Raw genomic sequence first — 27306 nt, 5'->3', positions numbered from 1 at the left:
AATGTTGCTTTTAAAAAAATAAAAGAACTACATATAAAATTGTGGTAGAGTAGAGTCAAGGCCGACTATAAACAAATGCTCGTCAGCCAACAGAAGAAATCTATCCTGCAATATGGGTGACTTTCCCAGTGTACCATGATAGTTCCTTAAAGCTGTTATGAAATATTCCATAAACCTGTATTTAGAGACTTTTTTTTTCGAATATCTTTTTAATGACTTAAACACCAGCGCAGAGACTCGCGATGTAAACAGCCTCATTTCTGTGCTCTGTGCTTTGGGAGGGACAGGGACACCATTTCCCACCTTGGCTGAGATAAAACCTGCCTTGTAAATTAATAAATAATTTCCTAACTAACACGGCAAAAAAAGAAAAAAAAATCCCAACGAGACCTAGTTTCCATCCAGGGACAGGATGTTTCTGGACACCCCCGGTCACTGCTCCTCCTAAGGGCCTGGCTGTGGCTACTGCAGGGAGGATGTAGTGAGAATGGCTTCCCTTCTGCTGTTTGCTGCTGTCTACACCGGCCAAGAACCTGCTCCTGTCTGCCTGGGCTGATGGAGTCTCGCTCTTGAGAAAAATCTTGCTGGGGCAGGTCCTCTGGCAGCCCCAGCACCTTACCCTGAGTCATGGGAGAAATTCCATGATTTATGCGAAAACAGCTAATGCCCGTCAATCCAAGCTGTTCAGAATATATTAGCTTACATCTATTCAAGTGAATAGAGTCATATAAAGTAATTCATTTCCTGCATCAGTAGATTGTGAGAATTGACACATTTTTAAAAAATGTTGTATTCAGGAAAGTGAAACATTTATGGAAACAGCACAGTATCATGAGCTGGTGTACCCATCACCCGGTCTCTGCAATCAGCACCTCATGACAAACGTGGCTCTTTCTACACTGTCCTCTCCCCCATTCCTGATTATTTTGAAGCAAAAATCCAAGACAGCCTATGATTTCATCCATAAATATGGCGATATGTCTAAAAAGTTATTCTTTAAAAAAATTATAATACTCTTTTGGCTGGTGGCCGGCGGGGGTGAGGGGCGGGGATGGAGTCTTGCTCTGTCGCCTGGGCTGGAGGGCAGTGGCACAATCTCAGCTCACTGCAACCTCCACCTCCTGGGTTCAAGAGGTTCTCCTGCCTCAGCTTCCCAAGTAGCTAGGATTACAGGCATGCACCACCATGCCTGGCTAATTTGTGTATTTTTAGTAGAGCCGGGGTTTCGCCATGTTGCCCAGGCTGGTCTCAAACTCCTGACCTCTGCCTCCCAGGTTCAAGCTATTCTCCTGCCTCAGTCTCCCAAGTAGCTGGGATTACAGGCACATGCCACACACTTCGGCCTCCCAAAGTGCTGAGATTATAGGCGTCAGCCACCACGCCCAGCGAAAAAATTATAATACTCTTATTACACCCCAAAAATGGCCAATAATGCCTTACCGTCATCAAAAACCCAGTTGGTATGCAATTTTCTAGTTTGTCGCATAAATGTCACAAATGTGTAGATTTAGGTTTTCATTTTTTACAATTTTTTTGAATCAGAATCCAACTAGGTTTCTCACATTGTAATTGGGGATCTGCCTCAAGTGCCTGTATGGAGACTGGACATCCCACCCGCCCTCTCTTTTTTTTATTTGTGCAGTGTTTTGTTGAAATCAGTTTGTTTGTCCTGTAGAGCATCCCAAAAGTCCCATGGACTTGTTGGCACATTCCCGTGTGCCTTTTAACTTGTTCTTCTATTCTTTGTGTGTCTCATAAATTGCTAGTTTCTTTTTGGCAAGACTACTTTATGGGGTGGCCTATCGGCATCTTTAAAATGATGTTTATAAAATGACTTTCCAGGGGATTCCAGAAACAAGAAAGATTTACACTGATCAAGAAGGTAAAGACATGGTCCTGGCTGATGCATGGTGATGATTTAATAATAACGCTCGCTGTCATGGGTGTAACAGATTAACTCACAGTATAATAAATAGGAAGTTTAGAATTAAGCCTAACTGTAGGCAGCAAATGTTTTTTTTAAAAGAGAACATGCCTTTAGCGCCTGTTTTTATTATCTGAATAAATTAAAGGAGTCTAAATGCACTTGGTGGTCTTAACTATAATGAGGTACATTCAAGCTGTTTTCTTCCCTGTTTATTTTATTTATTTTTTGAGACAGAGTCTCTCTCTGTCACCCAGGCTGGAGTGCAGTGGCATGATCTTGGCTCATTGCAACCTCTGTCTCCCAGGTTCAAGCTATTCTCCTGCCTCAGCCTCCCAAGTAGCTGGGATTATAGGCACAGACCACCACCATGCCCAGCTAATTTTTGTATTTTTGGGAGAGATGGGGTTTTGCCATGTTGGCCAGGCTGGTCTTGAACTCCTGACCTCAGGTGATCCTCCTGCCTTGGCCTCCCTAAGTGTTGGGATTATGGGCATGAGCCACCGCACCTGGCCTTCCCTGCATTTTAGAGAGAAGTGGGTGAAGTGTATTGAAAAGGCTGTTTTGAAGTCAGTGGCTTCCAAATCAAACAATGATGCTTTCTCCTTGTCTTGATCCATTTTAAACTGCTATAACAGAATACCGCAAAAATGGCTAATTCATAAAGAAAGGAAATGTAATTCTGGAGGCTATGAAGTCCCATATGAAGGTGCCAGCATCTGGTGAGGGTTTTCTCTGTGTTATCCCATAGCAGAAAGCAAGAGCGTGAGAGAAAGGAATGGGGAAGGGGGCAGAACTTGTTATTTAATAAGAAAATCACTCCCATGACAACTAACCCATTCCTGGCATAATGGCATTAATCCATTCATGAGACAGAGCCCTCATAACCTAATCACATCTTAAAGGTCCCATCTCTCAACACCGCTGCATTAAGGACTAAGTTTCCAACACATGAACTTTGGGTGACCCATTCAAACCCCGGCACTCCTCAATACCTTTCCCACTGGATGCATCTGCAAGGATTTTCATCACCTCAGGCTGTGGCACCAGACGGTGGAGCCTCAGATTCTCAATCGGGACAATACAGACAACCATCATGCCACAGTGGGGCAAGTATGGCATTGTGGCAGAAAGAAAGAAGGAAAGGGAGAAAGGGTGGGGGAGGGAGAGAAGGAGGAAGGAAGGAAGGAAGGAAGGAAGGAAGGAAGGAAGGAAGGAAGGAAGGAAGGAAGGAAAAAGAGAAGGAGATATTTTAAACTACAGTCTATAGTCCTAATTCATTCTCAGTACATAGAAATGTTCCTTTCTTTGGGGCCACTGCTGGTAGCCATCTACATCCTGATTGCGTTCTCCAGAGAAACAGAACCAGTAGGGTGAGTGTGTGTGTGTGTGTGTGTGTGTGTGTGTGTGTGTGTAGTACGCATGCATGTGTGTGTGTCTGCATGCATGCATGTGTGTGTGTGGTTTATTATAATGAACTGGCTCATGGGATTCTGGGGGCTGGCAAGTCCAAAATCTGCAACGTGAGCCTCAGCCTAGAGACCCAGGATAGCTGATGTTGCAGCTCAGGTTCGAGGCCATTGCTGTAGAAGCAGGAAGAGCTGATGCTGTGGATGGAGCCTGGAGGCCGCCTGCTGGAGGATTCCCTCTTGCTCAGGGGAGGTCAGTCTTTTGTTCTATTATAGTGAGGTCTTCAACTGATTGGACAAGGCCCACCCACATCAGGGAGGGTGGCCTGCTTTACTCAAAGTCTACTAATTGAAACGTTAATTTCACCCAAAAGCACCCTCAAAGAAACACTCAGCATAATGTTTAACCAAATATCTGGGCACATTGGCCCAATGAAGTTAATACGTAAAACTAAACATTACACTGATGAACTGAGAAAGTTGTCCTGTCACTACTTATGACCCCGTAACTTGGTTGTCTCACATCCTACTGGAAGAGCCTCATGAAAGAGACATGAGTGTGTTACATCTTTGGCAGGTCCCTGAGACCTGCTCTCCTTTGCAGGGCCCAGGACACGGCCTTCCATGGGGGAAGTCGTGATGAATAGTTATTATGTTGAATAGAGGCTCTGTGTCTGGAGTAAAGGTGTTATCTCCTTCCTCCACTATCTCAAATCTTAATTCATCTTTCTGGGTTTTCATACATTTCTTTTTTTAATATCTAATATGTAGGGAAATCTGTTACATTTTTGAAAAGCAACCCTGACTTCAGCTACTTGTTGATCTGAGCCCACGGCCATCCACCACATTGTGATGATGGCCTCTGGCCTGTCCCACAAACCCAGAGAGAGGCTGAAGACACAGCCTGTTTCCAGCCATCTGAGGACTAAATGCCCCCAAAATACCACTTAACCATTCCACAGATATTTTCAAATGCATCTCTGAGAGGTAATGCAATATCCAAGCCAGCTTGCATCCTGAGTTTCTGCTTTGATAGATGCATAGGGTTCAGGGACAGGAGACAAAGCCTAGAATCATCATAGAAAACTGGAACCCCCTTTGCCCAAAGGGCAAATCCTCAGAATAAGAGGAATGAGAAGGCCAAGTGCAGTGATGCGCACCTGGAGTGCCAGCCACTCATGAGGCCCAGGCGGGAGGATCACTTAAGCCCAGGAGTTTGAGGCTGCCATGAGCACTGATCACACCTGTGAAGAGCCTCTGCTCTCCAGCCTGGGCAACATAGCAAGACCCTGTCTCTAAAAATAAAAAAGAGGAAGGAGAAATTAACCCAATGTAAATAACAAAAAAATAAAGGAAACAAAACCTGCTTGTCTTGACCTCAGCACTCTGGGGAGAAGGGGAAAAAAACCTGCCCTTAGAAGTTGTTACCTCAAACCAGGTTCCAGGCAGATTTCCAGTCTGAATTCACATTACCTGTGTGATCTGAAAAGACCCATTTGGATATTTACGTTTAAAGTGTTCAGGGATGGTAGTCCTCCTAGGCAACTGACAGAAGCAGATATTCTCTGGAGAGATTAAGGTGCTTCAACCAGGCCTTAAAGAAGTCCCACAGATAAAGTAACCAGGAAAGTCAGCAGCTCACAGTAAAAGAATTTTTAAACACGAAAGAAAGAAAAGCCCTCTGTGTGCAAGCAAACAGAACCTCAGGCCCCAGAATCCCACTTGCCAATACTTCAGTGCTTAAGGAAATAAATCAGGAGCTTAAAAGCAAGAACGAGGAATGAGAGAGTGCAAGGAACGGCTAAGCATGCTTGAAAAGAAAACAAATTTCATAAATGTAGGAATGCCTACAAATTGGCTGGGTGTGGTGGCTCACGCCTGTAATCCCAACACTTTGCAAGGCCAAGGCAGGAGGATAGCTTGAGCTCAGGAGTTCAAGGCCAGCCTGGGCAACATAGTGAGATGTCATCTCTACTAAAAAAAAAAAAATTCCTAATATTTTTAATTTACAATAGTAAGAGATGGTGGCTTATGCCTGTAATCCCAACACTTTGCAAGGCCGAGGCAGGAGGATAGCTTGAGCTCAGGAGTTCAAGGCCAGCCTGGGCAACATAGTGAGATGTCATCTCTACTTAAAAAAAAAAAAAAAAATTCCTAATATTTTTAATTTACAATAGTAAGAGATGGTGGCTCACGCTTGCAATCCCAACATTTTGCAAGGCCAAGGCAGGAGGATAGTTTGAGCTCAGGAGTTCAAGGCCAGCCTGGGCAACATAGTGAGATGAGTGAGATGTCATCTCTACTAAAAAAAAAAAAAAAAAAAAAAAAAAATTCCTAATATTTTTAATTTAAAATAGTAAGAGATGGTGGCTCATGCCTGTAATCCCAACACTTTGCAAGGCCGAGGCAGGAGGATAGCTTGAGCTCAGGAGTTCAAGGCCAGCCTGGGCAACATAGTGAGATGTCATCTCTACTAAAAAAAAAAAAAAAAGTTCCTAATATTTTTAATTTAAAATAGTAAGAGATAGTGGCTCATGACTGTAATCCCAACACTTTGCAAGGGTGAGGCAGGAGGATAGCTTGAGCTCAGGAGTTCAAGGCCAGCCTGGGCAACATAGTGAGATGTCATCTCTACTAAAAAAAAAAAAAAAGTTCCTAATATTTTTAATTTAGAATAGTAAGAGACGGTGGCTTATGCCTGTAATCCCAGCACTTTGGGAGGTCGAGGAGGGCAGATCACTTGAGATCAGGAGTTTGAGATCAGCCTGGTCAACATGGTGAAACTCTGTCTCTTCTAAAACTACAAAAAATTAGCCAGGCGTGATGGCTAAGAGATAAAAAGAACATACTAGATACATTTAATGTCTAACGGTAGTAGTAGCCCGCAGAGGATGGCTGGACTGGCATATAGGCCTGCAGAAGGGATACGTGATGCTGTACAGAAAGATAGATGGATTCTTAGGGTGTGCTGAGCTGTGGGGACTCATGACCCCAAATCCACCATGTCTCAGGTTACACAGGTTTAGATCTGCTCCCTAAAGGGCAGACTAACTGCCCTGCTGGGTCAAGTTGTCATCAGTTACATCCATTAGTGCTTTCCAGAGAAAATAAAAGGGAGCTTTCTATCTAAATATTTAAATCTATCTGTTACTGCAGTAAGTAAACAATCTGAAAATCCAGATTAGCACAATTGGTCTTTAACAAGGATTCTTCACTTTAAGAAACAAGGTGCGTCTCTGGGGCACTAAAACTCTGATTAGAAAACAGATCAAAGCAGCACTCTGTGTTGATGGCTTCTCCACATGGTGACTCAGGGACCCAGGATCCTTTCATCTTGTGTCTCTGCCGTCCCCTGCACTCTCATTTTCATTTGGGTCCAGCCAGCCACAGGTGAGACTGTGGGGTGCATCCATGTCGTAGAAGCTTCAGCTAAGAGATGGGACACTTCACTCCTGTTCTGTTCTATTGGCTGGAACTCACTATCAACACTTATTTTTCATTTTCTTCATTTTTCCATTTTCTTTTTTTTTTTTTTTTTAGATGGACTCTCACTCTGCTGCCCAGGCTGGAGTGCAGTGGCGCAATCTCGGCTCACTGCAAGCTCTGCCTCTGGGATTCAAGTGATTCTCCTGCCGCAGCCTCCCGAGTAGCGCCTGCCACCACGCCCGGCTAATTTTTGTATTTTTTGTAGAGATGGGGTTTCACTATGTTGGCCAGGGTGGTCTCGAACTCCTGACCTCGTAATCCACCCGCCTCGGCCTCCCAAAGTGCTGGGATTACAGGCGTGAGCCACCGTGCCCGGCATTGATTTTTGTATTTTCATCAAGAGTAAATAAAGGCTATTTCAGCATTGATTGTCATTTTTTTTTAAACTGGACCCACTTATGTAATACTTAAACTAATAAAAATTGTAATATGAAACCATCGTTGCACTCTGAATAAACCTTATTTTGTCATGGTAGGATGTTGCTACATTGCACCATGTGCTCATATTTTTATTAGAATTTTCACTTCTCTATTTATGAATAAAACCAGTCTACATCTTTCTTTCTTTTTCTTTTTCTTGTTTGTTCTTGCATTAGGATTCTGCTACCTTTGTAAATAAATCAATGTATTCCTCACACAGCATATACATATTTATCAGTCTTGTAAGCTTAGAGCAGTCCATAAATCATAAAAGAGTTTAGGGTGAATTTTAGAAGAGAAAAACAAAAATGAAGTAATAAACAAACAGTTGCTGACAAACAAATATTTGTGCTTTATAAAGCCAGTCCTACGCTTGATCTTACCCACATGCCCTGGACAGATGACAGGAGGCCTGAGTTCTCATCTCTGCTCCGCTCCTGTGTTATCTCACAAGAGTCATGACATCCCGTTACCTCGAGCGCCCTTTCTATGCATAAAGAAGGCACTGGGGAGACGCCATGTCCAAGGTGCCTTCCAACAGTCTGACAGTTTTTCTAAATTTCAAAGATGACTTTCTCAATGCAAAAGCCAAGAAAGATCACATAAAACACACACACACACAAATATATATATATATGTGTATGTGTATATGTGTGTGTGTGTGTGTGTGTGTGTGTGTGTATACACACACATATTTTTATTTTGGGCTCCCACCAGAAAGGAAGATAGGTATAGAAAAACCACAAGTATGGGCCGGGCACGGTGGCTCATGCCTGTATCCCAGCACTTTGGGAGGCCGAGGCAGGTGGATTGCCTGAGGTCAAGAGTTCGAGACCAGCCTGGCCAACATGGTGAAACCCCGTCTCTACTAAAATACAAAAATTAGCTGGGTGTGGTGGCAGGCACCTGTAATCCCAGCTACTTGGGAGGCTGAGGCAGGAGAATTGCTTGAACCCAGGAAGTGGAGGTTGCAGTGAGCCAAGGTTGCACCACTGCACTCCAGCCTGGGCAACAGAACAAGACTCCGTCTCAAAAAAAAAAAAAAAAAAAAAAAAAAAAAAAAAAAAACTGGCCAGGCACGGTGGCAGTGGCTTATATCTGTAATCCCAGCACTTTGGGAGGCCGAGGCAGGTGGATCGCCTGAGGTCAGGAGTTCGAGACCAGCCTGACCAACATGGTAAAACCCCACCTCAACTATAAATACAAAAATTAGCTGGATGTGGTGGCGCATACCTGTAATCCCAGCTATTCAAGAGGCTGAGGCAGGAGAATCGCTTGAACCTGGGAGACAGAAGTTGCAGTGAGCCAAAATCATGCCACTGCACTCCAGCCTGGGTGACAGAGCAAGACTCTGTTTCAAAAAAAAAAAAGAAAAAGAAAAGAAAAGAAAAATCGCAAGTATGTTACCTTCGTATAAATAACAAAGTTAGCTCACTTCTCTGTTTCCTCCTGTTAGGAAGTGGATAAAGCAAAATGATCATCCAGTCACTAACCTGTGTGGTGGGGAACTTACGAGGTTGGTTAGTCATTAATCAGAGCAGATAATAAAGCATGTGACTCTCAGCCCAGTTCTCTGCACTGGAATAATGTGATCCTCATTTCCTGAAATTTAGTCATAACGAAGGAAGTGATTTGAAATTAGCTTCTCTTATAAAGATAGAGGAATCCTGATGAATTAGAGCTCCCTTTCACCTGGGACTTGCCTCCATCACACTTGGCGATCCCCACACCGCCCTTTGAGCTGAGCTGCTCTTGAGGGCAGACGAACTGCCCTACTGGGTCAAGTTGTCATCAGTTACATCCATCAGTGCTTTCCAGAGAAAATAAAAGGGTACTTTCCTCAATCTATCTGTTATTGCAGTAAGTAAAAAACCTGAAAATCCAGATTAGCACAATTCATCTTCAATGAGGATTCTTCACTTTAGGAAACAATGTGCTTCTCTGGGGCACTAAAAACAAGTTTATTTCCAAAACAAATTTTGATCAATGCTCAACAGTTTTTAAGGATGTATCTCAAATGATCTAAGAATATGCATCGACCATTATTTATAAGTAAGGGTGAAGGAAATGCACCTTTATGAAGTCCCTGAAGCACCCAGGGACTGTACCAGATGCCTTACAGGTGTACATATGTACTAGGTATAAAGGTTAGTTTCCTAATCTAGGTATGTGTAAATCCTCATCTTACTTTATTTCCTTGAGTCAAAGTCAATTCCAAGTCACCATTCCATTGAGATAATGAAAAGCCCAATGGTGGATGCCTCCTCCTAGTCAACATCTCCCCCCAAATTATAGGAAGGCACACAGAGCAAGATATCATCTCATGTTCACATGGCCCACGAAGTCTGGCCATGCCAAGCTTGGGCAGAGGAATCTTCTGCAAGATGGCAGCTTCCACTGTTACGGACCAGCCTCCATGGTGCACCAGAAAGGCACTCCCCTCAGGTGTCCTCCCACCTTGCTGGATGTTGCCAAAAATAAAAGAACAAGATTCCTCTATTTCTGGCACCCACAGCTTCCTGTCTCCTTTCAAATCCTGCGTAATTACCCTTCTCTCAAAGGCAGTAGCTTCTCTCTAGTACCTACAGCATAATCGCCTCAAGAAACCAAGGCTTCCAGAACTCAAACCCAGGAAGGAATCTAGGAGGATTCCAGAAATCAAGCCCAGGAATGAATCAAACCCAGCTGCACTCAACTCTGGACTTCCACGGTGCCTCGCGAGACTGGCTTTGCTAAGGCAAGGGCTTCTGGGTGGAGTTAATAAGAAAGCAGCATGAAAAGGTGCTTTGAGACACGACACATCGTTTCCTGCTAACGATCAAAGAATATACACAGCTGTTCCCGTTTCGGAGCAGTTCTGGCCCCAGGAGAGAGTTGCTGAGTTGCTTTCTGGAAAAGCTGGCTTTGACTTTTCAAGGCAGCTCATGCTGCTAAAGGTTGCATAGGCACAGAGAGAGGGAGCTGCCGGGGGCATGGGGGAGCCTTCCCTGATGCAACTGAACTTGAGCTGAGCTCACTATGTCTCTAGAATCTACTACCTATTCCTATTCAATAAATACAAGTATTTATTAAACATCTGTTACGTGCCAGGTCCTGTGTCAAATGATGGAGGAAGTGAAAATGCGTAAGACACAGTCTCACTTTGAAGAGTTCTCAGCCTTGTGGGCAAAGGCAGGAAGGTTCATTGTGTGGCTTGAGTGCACACAGGGAGGCTTTAAAGAATGTGAGAGGAATATGAGGAACAGATGCTGCCCTGGAGTGACTCGCATCTCGCCCGAAGAGACAAACAAGGCACCCAACAACCACAGAACCAGTAAGTGCCAAACCATGGGTACTAACCCTAACTACAATGGGTATTCTGAAAAGGCAGAAAAAATTTAAGTGATCTTAGCATAATCAGACTTGGTGAGGCTTAACATTCCTCCCTCTTCACTAAAAAAAAAAAAAAAAAAAAAAAAAAAAGTCTTCTGAACAGGCACTGCACTAGGCTCTGGGAATGCAAGCCTAGGAAAGTCCAAATCGACGCCTTAAAATGTTCAGCAGACAGTGAAGGAAACATGGAGCTCCAAACCAGGGGCTAAGTGCCACCCTCAACACAGCTTCAGGCCTTCACTCTTCCCAGGAACTGGGGACTGTTTCAGAAAGGGGGTGCCATCTCTGCTGAGCTTTGAAGGAAGGGTAGAAGTTAGCCAGGGAGCAAGGTTGGAGGTAAGGGGTTCTAAGCCCAGGAGACGCCAAGAGTATAAAATTGGGTAAATTCCTGAAAAGTCAAGGTCAAGCAATTCCTGTATAAGGAGAAGATTTGGTGAAATCAAAGAGAAGACAAACTTGAGGCCAGTAAATTATTACCCTTTATCGGTCTTAACAGACGGGAACTAACAATATATCCCTGCGAAAGATCAATGCCGGAGTGAGGCTCAAGTTCACCTCCCGCAGCCTGTGACTCACGGCACACTGACTCAGCCATGCTACCTGCAAGGAGGCACGTTAGGACAACGCAGGGACCCAGCACGTGCCAGTGAGTCTCTCTCTGTCCTAACTATGGGATGCCACCCTCCTGGGTCAGCTGACTCACCCCTGCCTGTAAATCCTAGTCAGGTCTGTAGGTGCCTGGGGAAGAATCCTACCTACCTCTGAGTAAAGACAGGAATAGAAGCTGGTTCGTCTAGAGCAGCAACACAACCAACGTTGAAAAAAGCAAACACCATTTCTGAAAATTGCATGCAGAGTGCATGGTATCAACTGACGTGTCTCCCCTAGGAGAGTGAGCCATTAATGCTTTGCTAACCACAGCGCTATCAAGACCATCGTTTCCAATCCTACAAAGGAAACACCAGGAAAAACAGAATTTAAAGGTTTTATTTGTCAACCTAAAGAGGAGGCAATCAATATCATTTGAGTGCTTTCATTACATCCGAGAAGGAAATGAAATCAGGATGCACCAGCATGGGTTTTAGGCTATGCAGCCAACAGAGATGAACCAGACGTGTCCTCAAGGAGCTTAGAATCAGGTGGAGAAAATAAGATGTCATATAAATTACCTAAGCAATAGTTGGCACAGCACTATAAGCCACCAAATGCTGCATTCTTTTTCCGCACCAACAGATCCGGTATGTCTTCAGGGAGCACCTGCGTTGGGGTGCGTTAGAGATCCATCTGGAAGGCCAGGAAGACATTCAGGACCATTCACAGCTGGAATGCTCCTGAACAGCTGCCCAAGATCCAGGCCTGGCCTTTCAGGATGCCCTGAAAATGCACTGAACAAGGCCAAGTGCAGTGGCTCACACCTGTAATCCCAACATTTTGGGAGGCCGAGGCAGGAGGATTGCTTGAGGCCAGAAGTTCAACACTAGCCAGGGCAACATAGCAAGACCCCATCTCTGAAAAATATTTAAAAATTATCCAGGAAGTGTGCCTATAGTCCTCGCTACTAGGGAGGCTGAGATGAGAGGATCTCTTGACCCCAGGAGTAGAAGGCTGTAATGAGCTATGATCACACCACTGAATTCCTGGGCAAAGAGCAAGACCTTGTCTCAAAAAAAGAAAAAAAAAAAAAAAGTGCCCTGAACCATAGAATAAGTGGACTCTGGACTCTGCCATTCTCCTACTTCCCTTTCTTGAGCCAGTTTCCACGGGCATTGGCCAAGGTAACCTAGGGTAATCCGAGGTTACCCTAGGAGAAGCAGAACTCACAGCTCACAGAGCTGAGACAGAGGAGAAGTGTGTTTGGCTTGGCTTAAACCTAGACTTCCTAGGCCAGGTCACAGTGTCTCCTCCACTTTTTCCCTTTAACTTTTGCTCAAGAGATCAGACTGATTTATAAGATAAACAGACTGCTAGCCAAGAAGTCTCCTTCCTCCCCCCTTCTTTCTGTTCTGGTAAGTTCCATACCTAAATAGAACATAGTGACTTATGGTTCCAGCCCAATTATTAAGAGCCTCTTCAGTCTGGAAGTGTAATGTATATGTTTGTTCATCCACATTCTTGACAGATGAACAGACTGATACCCCCAGGAAGTCATCAGCAGAAGAGAGACGGGTCTTTAGGAACACCTGTAAGCCAAGGTGTTATACAAGACTAGAGATGTGTGGAGCAGAGGTAGAAATACCCACAGATAGGAAAGAGGACCCTTCTGGGATATGGAGAGAAGGAAAGGTCAGCCTACTCAAAAGTATCCTCGATCACTTGACACACCCTCCACAGGGTCATCATCAAGGAGCTGTAATTCATCCATGACAAGAAGCTTCCAGCTCAAATGCAAACATTCCTGAGACAGTTCCCACAGGAGCTCAGAAACGTCCTCCACGTACCCCTCATGGGGACATCTTGCTCCTACAGCAGTAAACGTCTTGCTTCCCTCCAACGGTGCTTCCTTACCTGTCCCTACCTGTGCCACGACCACAGGATGCCTACAAAAAAAAAAAGAAGGACACCTCACTGGCACCTCTCTCCTGATTCTCATCTGCACTTTGTTACCTGGGCTCTGAAGCAGCCCTGCTCCTGCTCTTGGGCCACACAAAGTGCTCACGGATGTGGCCTTTTTATCTTTTGCCTACTCTCTCCCTAGGGTTCAAGCATCATCCCTGTGTCCTAACCAGGGAACAAGTGGCATGTTCCCTTTTCTCCCAGGAACCTACACACAATTGCTTCTCCGATGAAAGCCACTTCCACTGTGCACATCAATCAAGGCAGATGCATAGCAGGGGCCGGGGGACCCTGGGCTGCTCTTCCAGCACTTAGCCAAACACTGAATCTGTTTATGCTCCACTGGGACACAAAGGAATGTCACAGGCACTAAAATATTCCACTTCCTGGTTACGCCCAGGCAAGCCTGGTTGGTGTTAGGAGACCCAGATTCTACCTCAAGATTGTGCTGCTGTTTTCCCTACAGCATGGTTGGTCATACACAGGTGAGGTCCAAGCTTTAATTATCCCTTTACCTTGGGTTCCTGTCAGAGATGTTCAAACCAGAACAATTCCATCTTGAATAGGGGCTGGGTAAAATGAGGCTGAAACCTACTGGGCTGCATTCCCAGGAAGTTAGGCATTCTAGGTCATAGGAAGTCGGCACAAGATACAGGTCATGAAGACCTTGCTGATAAAACAGGATGCAGTAAAGAAGCCAGCCAAAGCCCACCAAAACCAAGATGGCGAAGAAAGTGACCTCTGGTCATCCTCACTGCTCATTACATGCTAATTATAATGCATTAGCATGCTAAGAGACACTCCCACCAGCACCACGACAGTTTACAAATGTCATGACATCAGGAAGTTACCCTATATGGTCTAAAAAGGGGAGGAACCCTCTGTTCCGAGAATTGCCCACCTCTTTCCTAGAAAACTCATGAATAATCCACCCCTTGTTTAGCATATAATCCAGAAGTCACAATAAGTGTAAGCAACTGAGCAGCCCACACCGCTGCTCTGCCTATGGAGTAGCCACTCTTTTATTACTTCACTTTCTTAATAAACTTGCTTTCACTTTATTCTATGGATTTGCCTCAAATTCTTTCTTGAGTGAGATCCAAGAACCCTCTCTTGGTGTCTGGATTGGGACCCCTTTCCGGTAACATTCCTCTAAACTAGGTCTGAGAGTCCTTTTTTTGAATTGAATGGCTACTGAGAAGTTTCCAACAATATTTGTAGAGATCAGTCTATAGTGGGTACACATCTCAGTCTACAAACTTACATTTACTTAAAAAAAAAAAGAAAAGAAAAGAAAAAAAAGAAAATGCCAACTTCCAGTAAAGAACTTGGAAGTCATCTCTCCCATTCTTGCAACAAGAAAAAAAGCTGAACAAACTAAAGATCATCAACTTTTTGATCCATCAGAGAATTGAGGTCACAGAGCCAATCTCTGTCCCCAAAACTGGAGAGACAGAAAAATACAAAGAATGACAGCTTCCTGGGAGCAGAAACTCACAGCTGGAGCCAATATCTGTTGTAGTGTGTGAAACTGTCATCAACTAGTTGCTGGAGGCTCAGTGTAAACTAGCTTGAGAATTGAAAGCTCTAAAGGGACCCAGTCTTAGGGAGGTGCCCACGCTTGTGTGAGTTTTGCCTTGGGGAATTCCACCAGGTCTCCATTGTGAAGATCAGAGAAAAGTACCCTCTAACTTCCAGCAGAGGAGGGGGAAAGTAACTGTTCTGAAATACACCCAGAGCTCTCTGTTCTCTTTAACAAGTTCTGCCCTCAAGGGAAACTACTTTGCCAGAGTCTAACCTACTGGGGTTTTACCAAGGCCCAGCTGGCCTGGGGGAAGAGAAACACCCAACTCAGGCTCACTAAAAGACTAAGACTTGATCAGAAAAGTAAAGAATGCTTCCCTAACCCCCACACCTCACCACCACATCAAGATGGCGCCTGTATAATAACGGGATTTCAGCTTAAAAAAAAAAAAAATTGGCTGGGTGCGGTGGTTCACGGCTGTAATCCCAGCACTTTGGGAGGTCAAGGTGGGGTGGATCACCTGAGGTCAGGAGTTCAAGACCAGCCTGGCCAACATTGTGAAAACCCATCTCTACTAAAAATACCAAAAAAATTAGCCAGGCGTGGAGGTGGGCGCCTGTAATCCCAGCTACTTGGGAGGCTGAGGCAGGAGAATGGCTTGAACCCTGGAGGCAGAGGTTGCAGTGAACCAAGATTGCACCATTGCACTCCAGCCTGGGCAACAAGAGTGAGACTCCTTCTCAAAAAAATAAAATAAAATAAAATCTACAAGCCTAAGACCCTATTCAAGGAGTCTCTAGGAAAACCCAAGACATCACAGGAGACAAAAACAAAAGTGTTCAAGAAAATTTTAATCTGTGACACTACAGCTACAGCAAACAGTGAACACAGCCTCACTCCTAGCCAGATAAACACACTAGAGATCAATCTATGTCATTTCCTTTTACCCAATACATCATATCTGACTTTCAACAGAAAATTACAAGGCATGATAAAAAAAAAAAACAAAAAAAAAACACCTTCTGAAGAAACAAATCAAACATCATACACAAACCTAGGTATGGCAGAGATGTGGGGATTATCAGACCAGAAATGTAAAATAACTGATTAATATGCTAAAGGCTCTAATGGAAAAGTTGGACAACATCCAAGAGCAGATGGGAAATGGAGGCAGAGAGATGGAAACTCTAAGAAAGAATCAAAAGGAGAGGCTTGAAATCTAAAACTTACTTATGCAGAATGACTGGAGGCAGTGATGGCAAGTGGGTCCTTGTGGTCTAGAAGAATCCTGCAAAAATATCTCTCTCCATCTCTCAAAGATTTGAAGGTAGACTAAATAATTCAGGCTCAAACTGCTTGATATGGTTTGGCTATGTCCCCACCCATATCTCAAATTGTAGCTCCCGTAATTCCCATGTGTCATGGGAGGGACCCGGTGGGAGGTAATTGAATCATGAGGGCGGGTCTTTCCCATGCTGTTCTTGTGATAGCGAATAAGTCTCACGAGATCTGATGGATTTATAAAGGAGAGTTTCCCTGCACACGCTCTCTTGCCTGCTGCCATATAAGACATGACTTTGCTCCTCCTTTGCCTTCCACCATGACTGTGAGGCCTCTCCAGCCATGTGGAACTGTGAGTCAATTAAATCTCTTTCCTTTATAAATTACCAAGTCTCAGGTATGTCTTTATTAACAGTGTGAGAACAGATTAATACACTGCTTTTGCTGCAAACCCTGCCAACCCAGCAATTTTGTCAGAAGCTTCTGTTCACATCTCTCAAGATGGAAACCTCTATTCCAAACTATATCCAGAGCTCTCTCAACACATAGGCCTGAGTTTAAATAAAGAAGAAACACATGCAAATATGACCATGGTTTCTGGTGCGCCAATTCAGGGCCAGTTGGTAGCAAGACCTTCCAGTACGAACTATACAATGGCTCCTATAACTGGTAATGATGTTGGAATTTGTAGAGCAGAAATTAAGCAAGGGATTCATGAAGCCATTGGATCAAGATGGAAAATTCGTGAAGCCATAAGGACCAAGATGGAAAAATTGAACTCTGGCTTAAATCAATAGATAATGGTATATGTGTTCAGCAAGTCAAGGATAACTCTCCAACCTTATTGGTTGGTCTGAGATTTGGGAACCAAGTACTCCAAATCAATGGTGAAAACTGTGCAGGCTGGAGCTCAGATAAAGTGCACAAGGTGCTCAAACAGGCTTTTCAAGAGAAGATTTCTACGTCCATTCATGACAGGCCCTTTGAATGGACAATTACCATGCATAAGGATAGCACTGGACATGTTGGTTTTATCATTTAAAATGGAAAAATAGACCGGACGTCGTGGCTCACGCCTGTAATCCCAGCACTTTGGGAGGCCAAGGCAGGCAGATCACCTTATGTCAGGAGTTTGAGACCAGCCTGGCCAATGTGGTGAAACCCCATCTCTACTAAAACTACAAAAATTAGCCAGGCATGGTGGTGCACACCTATAATCCCAGCTACTCAGGAGGCTGAGGCAGGAAAATTGTTTGAATCCAGGAGGCAGGGGATGAAGTGAGCCGAGATTGCACCACTCCACTCCAGCCTGGCCAACAGAGTAAGACTCCATCTCCGAAAGAAAGAAAGAAAGAAAAGATAACATCCATAGTGAAAGACAGTTCTGTAGCCAGAAATGGTCTTCTCACAGAACACAACATCTGTGAAATCAACAGACAGAAGGTCACTGGACTGAAGGACTCTCAAATTGCAGACATACTGTCAACATCTGGGACTCGAGTTACTATTACAATCATGTCTTCTTTTATCTTTGAACAGATTAAGTGGATGACACCAAGCATGATGAAAAGCCTAATAGACCACACCATTCCTGAGGGTTTAAAATTCATCACACGACGGAAATGTAGCTGAACGTCTCCGTTTCCTTCTTTGGCAACTTCTGTATTCTGCACGTGAGGCTTTCTGGGGCCAGCAATTGAGCATACGCTGCATGAGGATCTTTCCATCTCACATTATGGCTGGGAATCTTACTGTTTCATCTGATAACCTGTTCAGATTTCAAGAGAGCTGTAGCCTTATCCTGGTTTTATAGAGGTGAAACTTTCAAGAGATTTACTGACTTTCCTGGAATAGTTGCTTTTCCGGAAACCTGATACTTTCATAAGCCATTGTGATTAGAATGACTGATACAGGCTTAGCTTTGTGTGAGAACCAGTCACCTTTCTCCTAGGCCATGAGAAGTGCTGTTCATGTTACTTTAGTTCTATGGGATGTTTGCATTTTTAACACATTCTACCACAGTACACTTAGAATGATTGCCCTTGATAGTTTTTTTTTTTTTTAATTCTGTGTATGTGTGTATAAAATGCCAATTAAGAACACTGGTTTCGGGCCAGGCACGGTGGCTCACGCCTGTAATCCCAGCACTTTGGAAGGTTGAAGTGGGCAGATCACGAGGTCAGGAGATCGAGACCATCCTGGCTAGTAGAGATGGTGAAACCCTGTCTCTACTAAAAATACAAAAAAATTAGCTGGGTGTGGTGGTGGGCGCCTGTAGTCCCAGCTACTCGGGAGGCTGAGGCAGGAGAATGGCATGAACCCAGGAGGCGGAGCTTGCAGTGAGCCGAGATTGCGCCACTGCACTCCAGCCTGGGCGACAGAGTGAGACTCTGTCTCAAAAAAAAAAAAAAAAAAAAAAAAGAAAAAAAAAAAGTACACTGGTTTCGGCTGGGTGCTGTGGCTCACACTTGTAATCCCAGCACTTTGGGATGCTGAGGTGGGAGGATCACTTGAGATCAGGAGTTCGAGACCAGCCTGGCCAACATGGTGAAAACCTGTCTCTACTAAAAATATAAAACTTAGCCAGGCATGGTGGCACATGCCTGTAATCCCAGCTACTCGGGAGGCTGAGGCAGCAGAATTGCTTGAACTCGGGAGGTGGAGGTTGCAGTGAGCCAAGATCAAACCACTGTATGCCAGCCTAAGCAACAGAGTGAGACTTTGTCTCAAAAAAAAAAAAAAAAAAAAAAAAAACCACTGGTTTCCTTCCACGTAAGCATTAAACAGTGTATGTAGGTTGTAAGAGATGGTGATGATTGTTCTGAAATCTTAACTACCTTCACTTAATGTGCTTGAACTGTCGCCTTAACTGTGTTAAGCATCCAGACTAAAAGCTGAAATAGAATTACTGCTGCCTTTCTAAAACGCAAAATGTGGTTCTCTATTAATCTGAAATGTACACTAGCCCAGAGCAGTTTAATGATACTTAACGAGCTATAGCATAGCATAGCTGCTTAGTTGTATTTGAGATTTTCTAGTCAATGCATAATGGAAACTTCTTTCTTCTGAAAGTTGCCAGTAGCACTATAGATTGAATGTAAAAATTGTTCTAGTAAACAGGACACTTTTTTTTTTTTTTTTTTTGAGACAGAGTCTCACTTATTCCACTGCCCAGGCTGGAGTGCAGCGGCACAATCTCTGCTCAATGCAACCTCTGCCTCTTGGGCTTGAGCAATTCTCCTGCCTCAGCCTCTTGAGTAGCTGGGACTGCAGACATGCACCACCATGCCCAGCTAATCTTTTTATTTTTTGTGGAGACAGGGTTTCACCATGTTGACCAGGCTGACCTCAAGTGATCCGCCCACCTTGGCCTCCCAAAGTGCTGGGATTATAGGCATGAGCCACCACGCCCAGCCTGAACAAGATAAACTTTTGACTCCTCTTTTTTTTCATTTGTGGATTAAGTGGTATAATACTTAACTTTGGCATTTGACTCTGAAGATTATGTAACCTAGCCACTTCAGATGGTTTTAGAATATTTTTCTAGTAATTTGTTGCACTTCCTGATTCCTCCTTGCAAACTAAATGACAGGACACTTTATCCTGATTATTTTCTTGTTTTTGATTTATGCCTATTCTATTTTAATTAAATATGTACACATAAAGTTAAAAACAAAAATAAAAAATGAAACTCATGTATGCAACAAACATGTAATGGGAATACCACACAGAAAAAAAGAGAAAGAGACAGAAAAAAATATTTGAAGTAATAATGGATGAAAATTTTCCAAAATTAATGACAGATACCAAACCACAAAACCAGGAAGCTCAGAGGAGGATAAATACACCAAGCATGATAAATACCAAAGAAATGTACATCTAGAAAATCAAAGACAGGCCAGGCGTGGTGGCTTATGCCTGTAATCCCAACACTCTGGGAGGCCAAGGCAGGCAGATCACCTGAGGTCAGGAGTTCGAAACCAGTCTAGCCAACATGGTGAAACCCCGTCTCTACTAACAATACAAAAAAAAAGTTAGCTGGGCATGGTGGTGGGTGCCTGTAATCCCAGCTACTCAGGAGGCTGAGGCACAAGAATCATTTGTACCCAGGAGGTGGAGGTTGTAGTGAGCTGAGATCGCACCACTGCACTCCAGCCTGGGCAATAGAGCAAGACTCTGTCTCAAAAAAAAAAAAAAAAATCAAAGACAAAAAGAAAATCTTGAAAGAAGCCAGAAGATTATCTCAATAGATGCAGAAAAGGCCTTTGACAAAATTCAACAACGCTTCATGCTAAAAACTCTCAATAAATTAGGTATTGATGGGACATATCTCAAAATAATAAGAGCTATCTATGACAAACCCACAGCCAATATCATACTGAATGGGCAAAAACTGGAAGCATTCTCTTTGAAAACTGGCACAAGACAGGGATGCCCTCTCTCACCACTCCTATTCAACATAGTGTTGGAAGTTCTGGCCAGGGCAATCAGGCAGGAGAAGGAAATAAAGGGTATTCAATTAGGAGAAGAGGAAGTCAAATTGTCCCTGTTTGCAGATGACATGATTGTATATCTAGAAACCCCCACTGTCTCAGCCCAAAATCTCCTTAAGCTGATAAGCAACTTCAGCAAAGTCTCAGGATACAAAATCAATGTACAAAAATCACAAGCATTCTTATACACCAATAGCAGACAAACAGAGAGCCAAATCATGAGTGAACTCCCATTCACGATTGCTTCAAAGAGAATAAAATACCTAGGAATCCAACTTACAAGGGACGTGAAGGACCTCTTCAAGGAGAACTACAAACCACTGCTCAATGAAATAAAAGAGGATACAAACAAATGGAAGAACATTCCATGCTCATGGGTAGGAAGAATCAATATCATGAAAATGGCCATACTGCCCAAGGTAATTTATAGATTCAATGCCATCCCCATCAAGCTACCAATGACTTTCTTCACAGAATTGGAAAAAACTACTTCAAAGTTCATATGGAACCAAAAAGAGCCCGCATCGCCAAGTCAATCCTAAGCCAAAAGAACAAAGCTGGAGGCATCACGCTACCTGACTTCAAACTATACTACAAGGCTACAGTAACCAAAACAGCATGGTACTGGTACCAAAACAGAGATATAGATCAATGGAACAGAACAGAGCCCTCAGAAATAATGCCACTTATCTACAACTATCTGATCTTTGACAAACCTGAGAAAAACAAGCAATGGGGAAAGGATTCCCTATTTAATAAATGGTGCTGGGAAAACTAGCTAGCCATATGTAGAAAGCTGAAACTGGATCCCTTCCTTACACCTTACACAAAAATTAATTCAAGATGGATTAAAGACTTAAATGTTAGACCTAAAACCATAAAAACCCTAGAAGAAAACCTAGGCATTACCATTCAGGACATAGGCATGGGCAAGGACTTCATGTCTAAAACACCATAAGCAATGGCAACAAAAGCCAAAATTGACAAATGAGATCTAATTAAACTAAAGAGCTTCTGCACAGCAAAAGAAACTACCATGAGAGTGAACAGGCAACCTACAAAATGGGAGAAAATTTTCGCAACCTACTCATCTGACAAAAGGCTAATATCCAGAATCTACGATGAACTCAAACAAATTTACGAGAAAAAAACAAACAACCCCATCAAAAAGTGGGTGAAGGACATGAACAGACACTTCTCAAAAGAAGACATTTATGCAGCCAAAAAACACATGAAAAAATGCTCACCATCACTGGCCATCAGAGAAATGCAAATCAAAACCACAGTGAGATACCATCTCACACCAGTTAGAATGGTGATCATTAAAAAGTCAGGAAAAAACAGGTGCTGGAGAGGATGTGGAGAAATAGGAACACTTTTACACTGTTGGTGGGACTGTAAGCTAGTTCAACCATTGTGGAAGACAGTGTGGCGATTCTGCAAGGATCTAGAACTAGAAATACCATTTGACCCAGCCATCCCATTACTGGGTATATACCCAAAGGACTATAAATCATGCTGCTATAAAGACACATGCACACGTATGTTTATTGTGGCACTATTCACAATAGCAAAGACTTGGAACCAACCCAAATGTCCAACAATGATAGACTGGATTAAGAAAATGTGGCACATATACACCATGGAATACTATGCAGCCATAAAAAAGGATGAGTCCATGTCCTTTGTAGGGACATGGATGAAATTGGAAATCATCATTCTCAGCAAACTATTGCAAGGACAAAAAACCAAACACCGCGTGTTCTCACTCATAGATGGGAATTGAACAATGAGAACACATGGACACAGGAAGGGGAACATCACACTCTGGGGACTGTTGTGGGGTGGGGGGAGGGGGGAGGGATAGCATTAGGAGATATAACTAATGCTAAATGACGAGTTAATGGATGCAGCACACCAGCATGGCACATATATACATGTGTAACTAACCTGCACATTGTGCACATGTACCCTAAAACTTAAAGTATAATAATAATTAAAAAAAAAAAAAAAGAAAGAAGCCAGACGAAAGAAAAAAACACCGTACCTACAGAGGAACTAGGATTAAAAAGTATAATGGGCTTCTTTTTGAAACGAATGCAAGCAAGAATAAAGTGGAGTGAGATATTTAAAGTGTTGGAAGAAAAATAATCAATCTAGAGTATTGTACCCAGTGAAATTATCTTTCAGAAGTGAAGGAGAAATAAAGACACTCCCAGAAAAATACTGAGGAAATCTGTCTCCAATAGAACTGCCTTGCAAGAAATATTAAAAGAAGTTTTTCAGAGAGAAGGAAAACAATGTTGGTCAGAAGCTCAAATCTACATAAAGAAAGGATGGAGAAAGAATGAATGAAGGTAAATAAAATCTTTTATTTTTCTTATTCTTAATTGATCTAACAGATAGCAGTTTGTTCAAAATAATAATAGTAATAATGTATTTGGTGATTATAGCTTATAGATAAGTGAAATTAATGACAGCAATCATATAACGGACAAGAGGGAGGAACTGGGAGTACTCTGCTATAAAGTACAGTCAGGTGTCACTTAATGGCAGGGACGTATTCTGAGATATGTGTCATCAGGTGATTTTGTCCTTCTGCAAACATCACAGAGTGTACTTACACAAACCTAGATAGTATAGCCTACTGCACACCTAGGCTATATTGTACAGCCTATTGTTGCTAGGTTACAATCCTGTACAGCATGTTGCTGTACTAAATACTGTAGGAAATTGTAACACTATGGTAAATATTTGTTTATCTAAATACATAGCCAACATCAGAAAGGTACAGTAAAAATACAGTATTATAATCTCAGCCAGGTTCAGTGGCTCGTGCCTGTAATCCCAGCACTTTGAGAGGCCCGGGCAGGCAGGTCACTTGAGGTCAGGAGTTCAAGACTAGCCCAGCCAACATGGTGAAACCCCGTCTCTACTAAAAATACAAAAGTTAGATGGGCATGATGGTGACAGGTGCCTGTAATCCCAGCTACTCAGGAGGCTGAGGCAAGATAATTGCTTGAACCCAGAAGATGGAGGTTGCAGTGAGCTGAGATTGCACCACTGCACTGTGGCCTGGGTGACAGAGTGAGGCTCCAAAACAAAACAAAACAAAACAAAAAAACAGTATTATAATCTCTTATGGAAGCACCATTGTATATGCAGTCTATCATTGACTGAAACATCATTATACAGTGCACTATACTTGCACTACCTGCGAAGTTGTTCAATGTTATTTCCAAGTAAAACTAGATTAGTTGTAAATGTATATTGCAAATTCTAGGGCAACCAATTAAAAAGGTTAAAGAAGAAATATAATTGATAAGCTAAGAGAGGGAAGATAATTAAATCATATAAGATGCTCAATTAAAACCAGATAATGCAGAAAAAAGAGTGGAAAAAAAACAACAGCAAGGACAATGAGGCAATCAATACAAAATACTTATGAATACAGTAGATATTAAACCCACTATAAAAATAATCACTTTAAATGTGAATGGTCTAAATACACCAGTTAAAAGCAAAGACTGGCTGGGCACAGTGGCTCATATGTATAAACCCAGCACTTTGGGAGGCCGAGTTGGGCAGATCATGTGAGGTCAGAAGTTTGAGACCAGCCTGGCGAACATAGTGAGACCCCATCTTTACTAAAAATACAAAAATTAACTGGGCACGGTGGCCTACGCCTGTAATCCCAGCTATTTGGGAGGCTGAGGCAGGAGAATCACTTGAACCCAGGAGGCAGAGGTTGCAGTGAGCTGAGATCATGCCACTCCACTCCAGCCTGAGTGACGGAGTGAGACTCCATCTCAAAATAAATAAATAAATAATAAAATAAAAGACTGTCAGAGTGAATTAAAAAACAAGACCCAGCTATATGTTGCCTACAAGAAACCCAAATTAAAGATATAAATAGATTAAAAGTGAAAGGGCCTGGCGTGGTGGCTCACGCCTGTAATCCCAGCACTTTGGGAGGCCGAGGTGGGCAGATCACAAGGTCAGGAGATGGAGACCATCAAGGATAACACAGTGAAACCCTGCCTCTACTAAAAATACAAAAAAATAGCCAGACGTGGTGGTGGGTGCCTGTAGTCCCAGCTACTCGGGAGGCTGAGGCAGGAGAATGGCGTGAACCCGGGAGGTGGAGTTTCCAGTGAGCCAAGATCACACCACTGCACTCCAGCCTGGGCGACAGAGCGAGACTCCATCTCAAAAAAAAAAAAAAAAAAAAAAACAGTGAAAGGATGGTCAACAGATGAATGGATTTTAAAACGTAGTACATACATACAATGAAATATTATTCAGTCTTAAAAAAGAAGAAAATTCGGTATGACAATATGAATGAAACTTGAGAACATTATGCTAAGTGAAATAAACCAGTCACAGAAAGACAAATACTGCATGATTCCACTTACACGAGGTATCTAAAATAGTTAAATTCATAGAATCAAACAGTGGAATGGTGGTTGCCAGGAGCTGGGAGGAAGGGGAAATAGGGAGTCATTAATCAATAGGCATGAAGTCTTAGTCAAGCAAGATGAACAAGCTCTAGAGATCTTCTGCATAACATTGTACCCAGAGTCAACAATAATGTATTGTACACTCAAAAATCTGATAAGAGGGTAGATCTCACATAAAGTGTTCTTACCACAATTTTTTTAAGTAAAGAGATTGAGCTGGGCGCAGTGGCTCATGCCTGTAATCCCAGCACTTTGGAAGGCTGAGGCAGGTGGATCACTTGAGGGCAGGAGTTTGAGACCAGCCTGACCAACATGGTAAAACCCCGTCTCTACTAAAAATACAAAATTAGCCAGATATGGTGGCACATGCCTATAATCCCAGCTATTCAGGAGGCTGAGGCAGGACAATCGCTTGAATCTAGGAGGCAGAAGTTGCAGTGAGCCGATATCACACCATTGCACTCTAGCCTGGGCAACAAGAGTGAAACTCCATCTCAAAAAAAAAGACAAAAAAAAAAAAATAGAGATTGTAGCACTTGTGTATTGCTGATAGAAATGAAAATGGTACTGCTGCTGTGGAATAGTTTGGCATTTCCTCAAAACCTTAGACATAAAACTGCCATATGATCCATCCATTCCACCTCTAGATTCATACCCCAAAGAACTGAAAGCAGGAGGCTAAGCAGATACTTGTATACCAATGTTCATAGCAGCATTATTCACAATAGCCAAAAGGTAGAAACAACTCAAATGTCCATCAACAGATGAATGGATGAACAATACACGGTATACATGCAATGGAATGTTATTCAACCTTAAAAATGGGAAAAAATCCTGATTTATGCTATAACATAGATAAACCTTAAAAACATTATTGTAAGTGAAATAAGCCAAAGACAAAAGGACAAATATTGCATGATTCTACTTACATGAGGTAGCTAGAATAGGAAATTTATAGGGAAAGAATGTAACATAGAGGCTACCAGGGGCTGGAGATGGAGGAGAGGGAAATTGGGAGTTACAGTTCAGTGAGTTCAGAGTTCTTGTTTCCAAGTTCTGGGAATGGACAGTGGTGATACTTGGCAAACACTATGAATATTCCTAAGACCACTAAACTGTACACATTAAAATAGTTAAAATGGTAAATTTCATTGTGTATATTATGCCAAAATAAAAAATTTTGAAGTAAAAGGATGAAGAAAGTTACTAATCAATATTATGTGCTAACACTAATCAAAAGGAAGCTGGAGTATTTGTATTAATTTCAGACAAAGCAGACTTCAGAGCAAAGAAAATTATCAGGAATAAAGAGGGGCATTACAAATGATAAAGGGGTCAATTCTCCAAGAAGACATAACAATTTTTAATGTATATGTGCCTAATAACAGAGCATCAAAATATGTGAGGCAAAAACTGAAAGGACTGCAAGGAAAAATAGATGAATTCCCGATTATAGTTGAAGACTTCAACACCCCGGTATAAAAAATAGGTCTAGCAGGCAGAAAATCAGTAAGAACACAGTGGAACTGAACAGCACCATCAATCAACAGAATCTAATTGACATTTATTAATAATCCTTTCAACAACAGCAAAATACACAATCTTCTCAAGCTCACATGGAACATTCATCAAGACAGATCATATTCTGGGTCATAAAATCCACCTTAACAAATATAACGCTGAAGCACTGGATTTTCGCAGTGAGAAAGATGTATTGTGAGTCAACTCACAAGGAGAGAGGAGGAAGCTCTCTGCTCTGTCTCCGTGAGCTGGGGGCTGCAATGGGTTTTATAAGCATAGGGTAATGAGGCATGATGTGATTGGATCTTGCGATGAGATGATACTGGGAGGCATGATCTGACTGAATCCTGCCATGGGGTGGCACCAGGGTCCAATCTGATTGGATCCTGGATCCTGCCTGCAGTGTTCGCTCCTTAATTCAGTCCCCACTGCTCAGTCTGAGCACTTAGGTTCCACCCGTGGTTGCACGATTGGTTCACCTGGGCATGCTCACGTTACTTGAACTTCAATCTGGGGGTCCACAGCAACTGAAAAACAACTCGTAACTTTGTTCACTAAAAACTGAACAAGGTTGGTCTGATATGGCTACAGCTCCTCTCTCCAGTGCTTCCATCTTGCTTTATTTCTCACTTGCCCACCCTCTGCTCTTTCCTCTCATTCAGGGCTGAGTCTTCCAGCCTCCATCTTTCTCCCATGCTGGATGCTTCCTGCCTTCAAACACTGGACTCCAAGTTCTTCAGCTTTTGGACTCAGTAGGCACAGCAGGGATGGAGGTGGGGCAGCCTGTTGCCTCAAGATGGCCAGGCCTCCTCACCATTCCCATAAGGACATAGGCTTTGGGAAGAATAAAGCCAAAGAAACT

General features: G+C 42.9%; 1 protein-coding gene and 1 pseudogene across 1 annotated transcript in view, besides 2 other annotated features; one reads left to right on the top strand and one right to left on the bottom strand.

Moving 5' to 3' along the window:
* PFKFB3 (6-phosphofructo-2-kinase/fructose-2,6-biphosphatase 3) overlaps nt 1–27306 on the bottom strand; it is a 181717-nt gene that overhangs the window by 15968 nt on the left and 138443 nt on the right. The gene's annotated exons all lie outside the window — the stretch shown is intronic.
* Nucleotides 10584–11783: an enhancer, noted in NCBI's record as "P300/CBP strongly-dependent group 1 enhancer chr10:6340850-6342049 (GRCh37/hg19 assembly coordinates)". NCBI's record gives its function as "activates an origin of replication core promoter dependent on BRD2, BRD4, P300/CBP, MED14 and CDK7 cofactors, with strong dependence on P300/CBP, by STARR-seq in HCT116 cells {active_cell/tissue: HCT116}" and the evidence as "EXISTENCE:reporter gene assay evidence [ECO:0000049][PMID:35650434]".
* Nucleotides 14681–14910: an enhancer, noted in NCBI's record as "active region_2967". NCBI's record gives its function as "activates an Ori minimal core promoter by ATAC-STARR-seq in GM12878 lymphoblastoid cells {active_cell/tissue: GM12878}" and the evidence as "EXISTENCE:reporter gene assay evidence [ECO:0000049][PMID:35858748]".
* Nucleotides 15930–17764, top strand: SDCBPP1 (syndecan binding protein pseudogene 1; annotated as a pseudogene).

Source organism: Homo sapiens, chromosome 10 (assembly GCF_000001405.40).
Source record: "Homo sapiens chromosome 10, GRCh38.p14 Primary Assembly".
NCBI classification, from domain to species: Eukaryota; Metazoa; Chordata; class Mammalia; order Primates; family Hominidae; genus Homo; species Homo sapiens.
The sequence above is the reverse complement of the archived record's forward strand: the minus strand, read 5'-3'. Positions and strand labels throughout refer to the sequence as shown.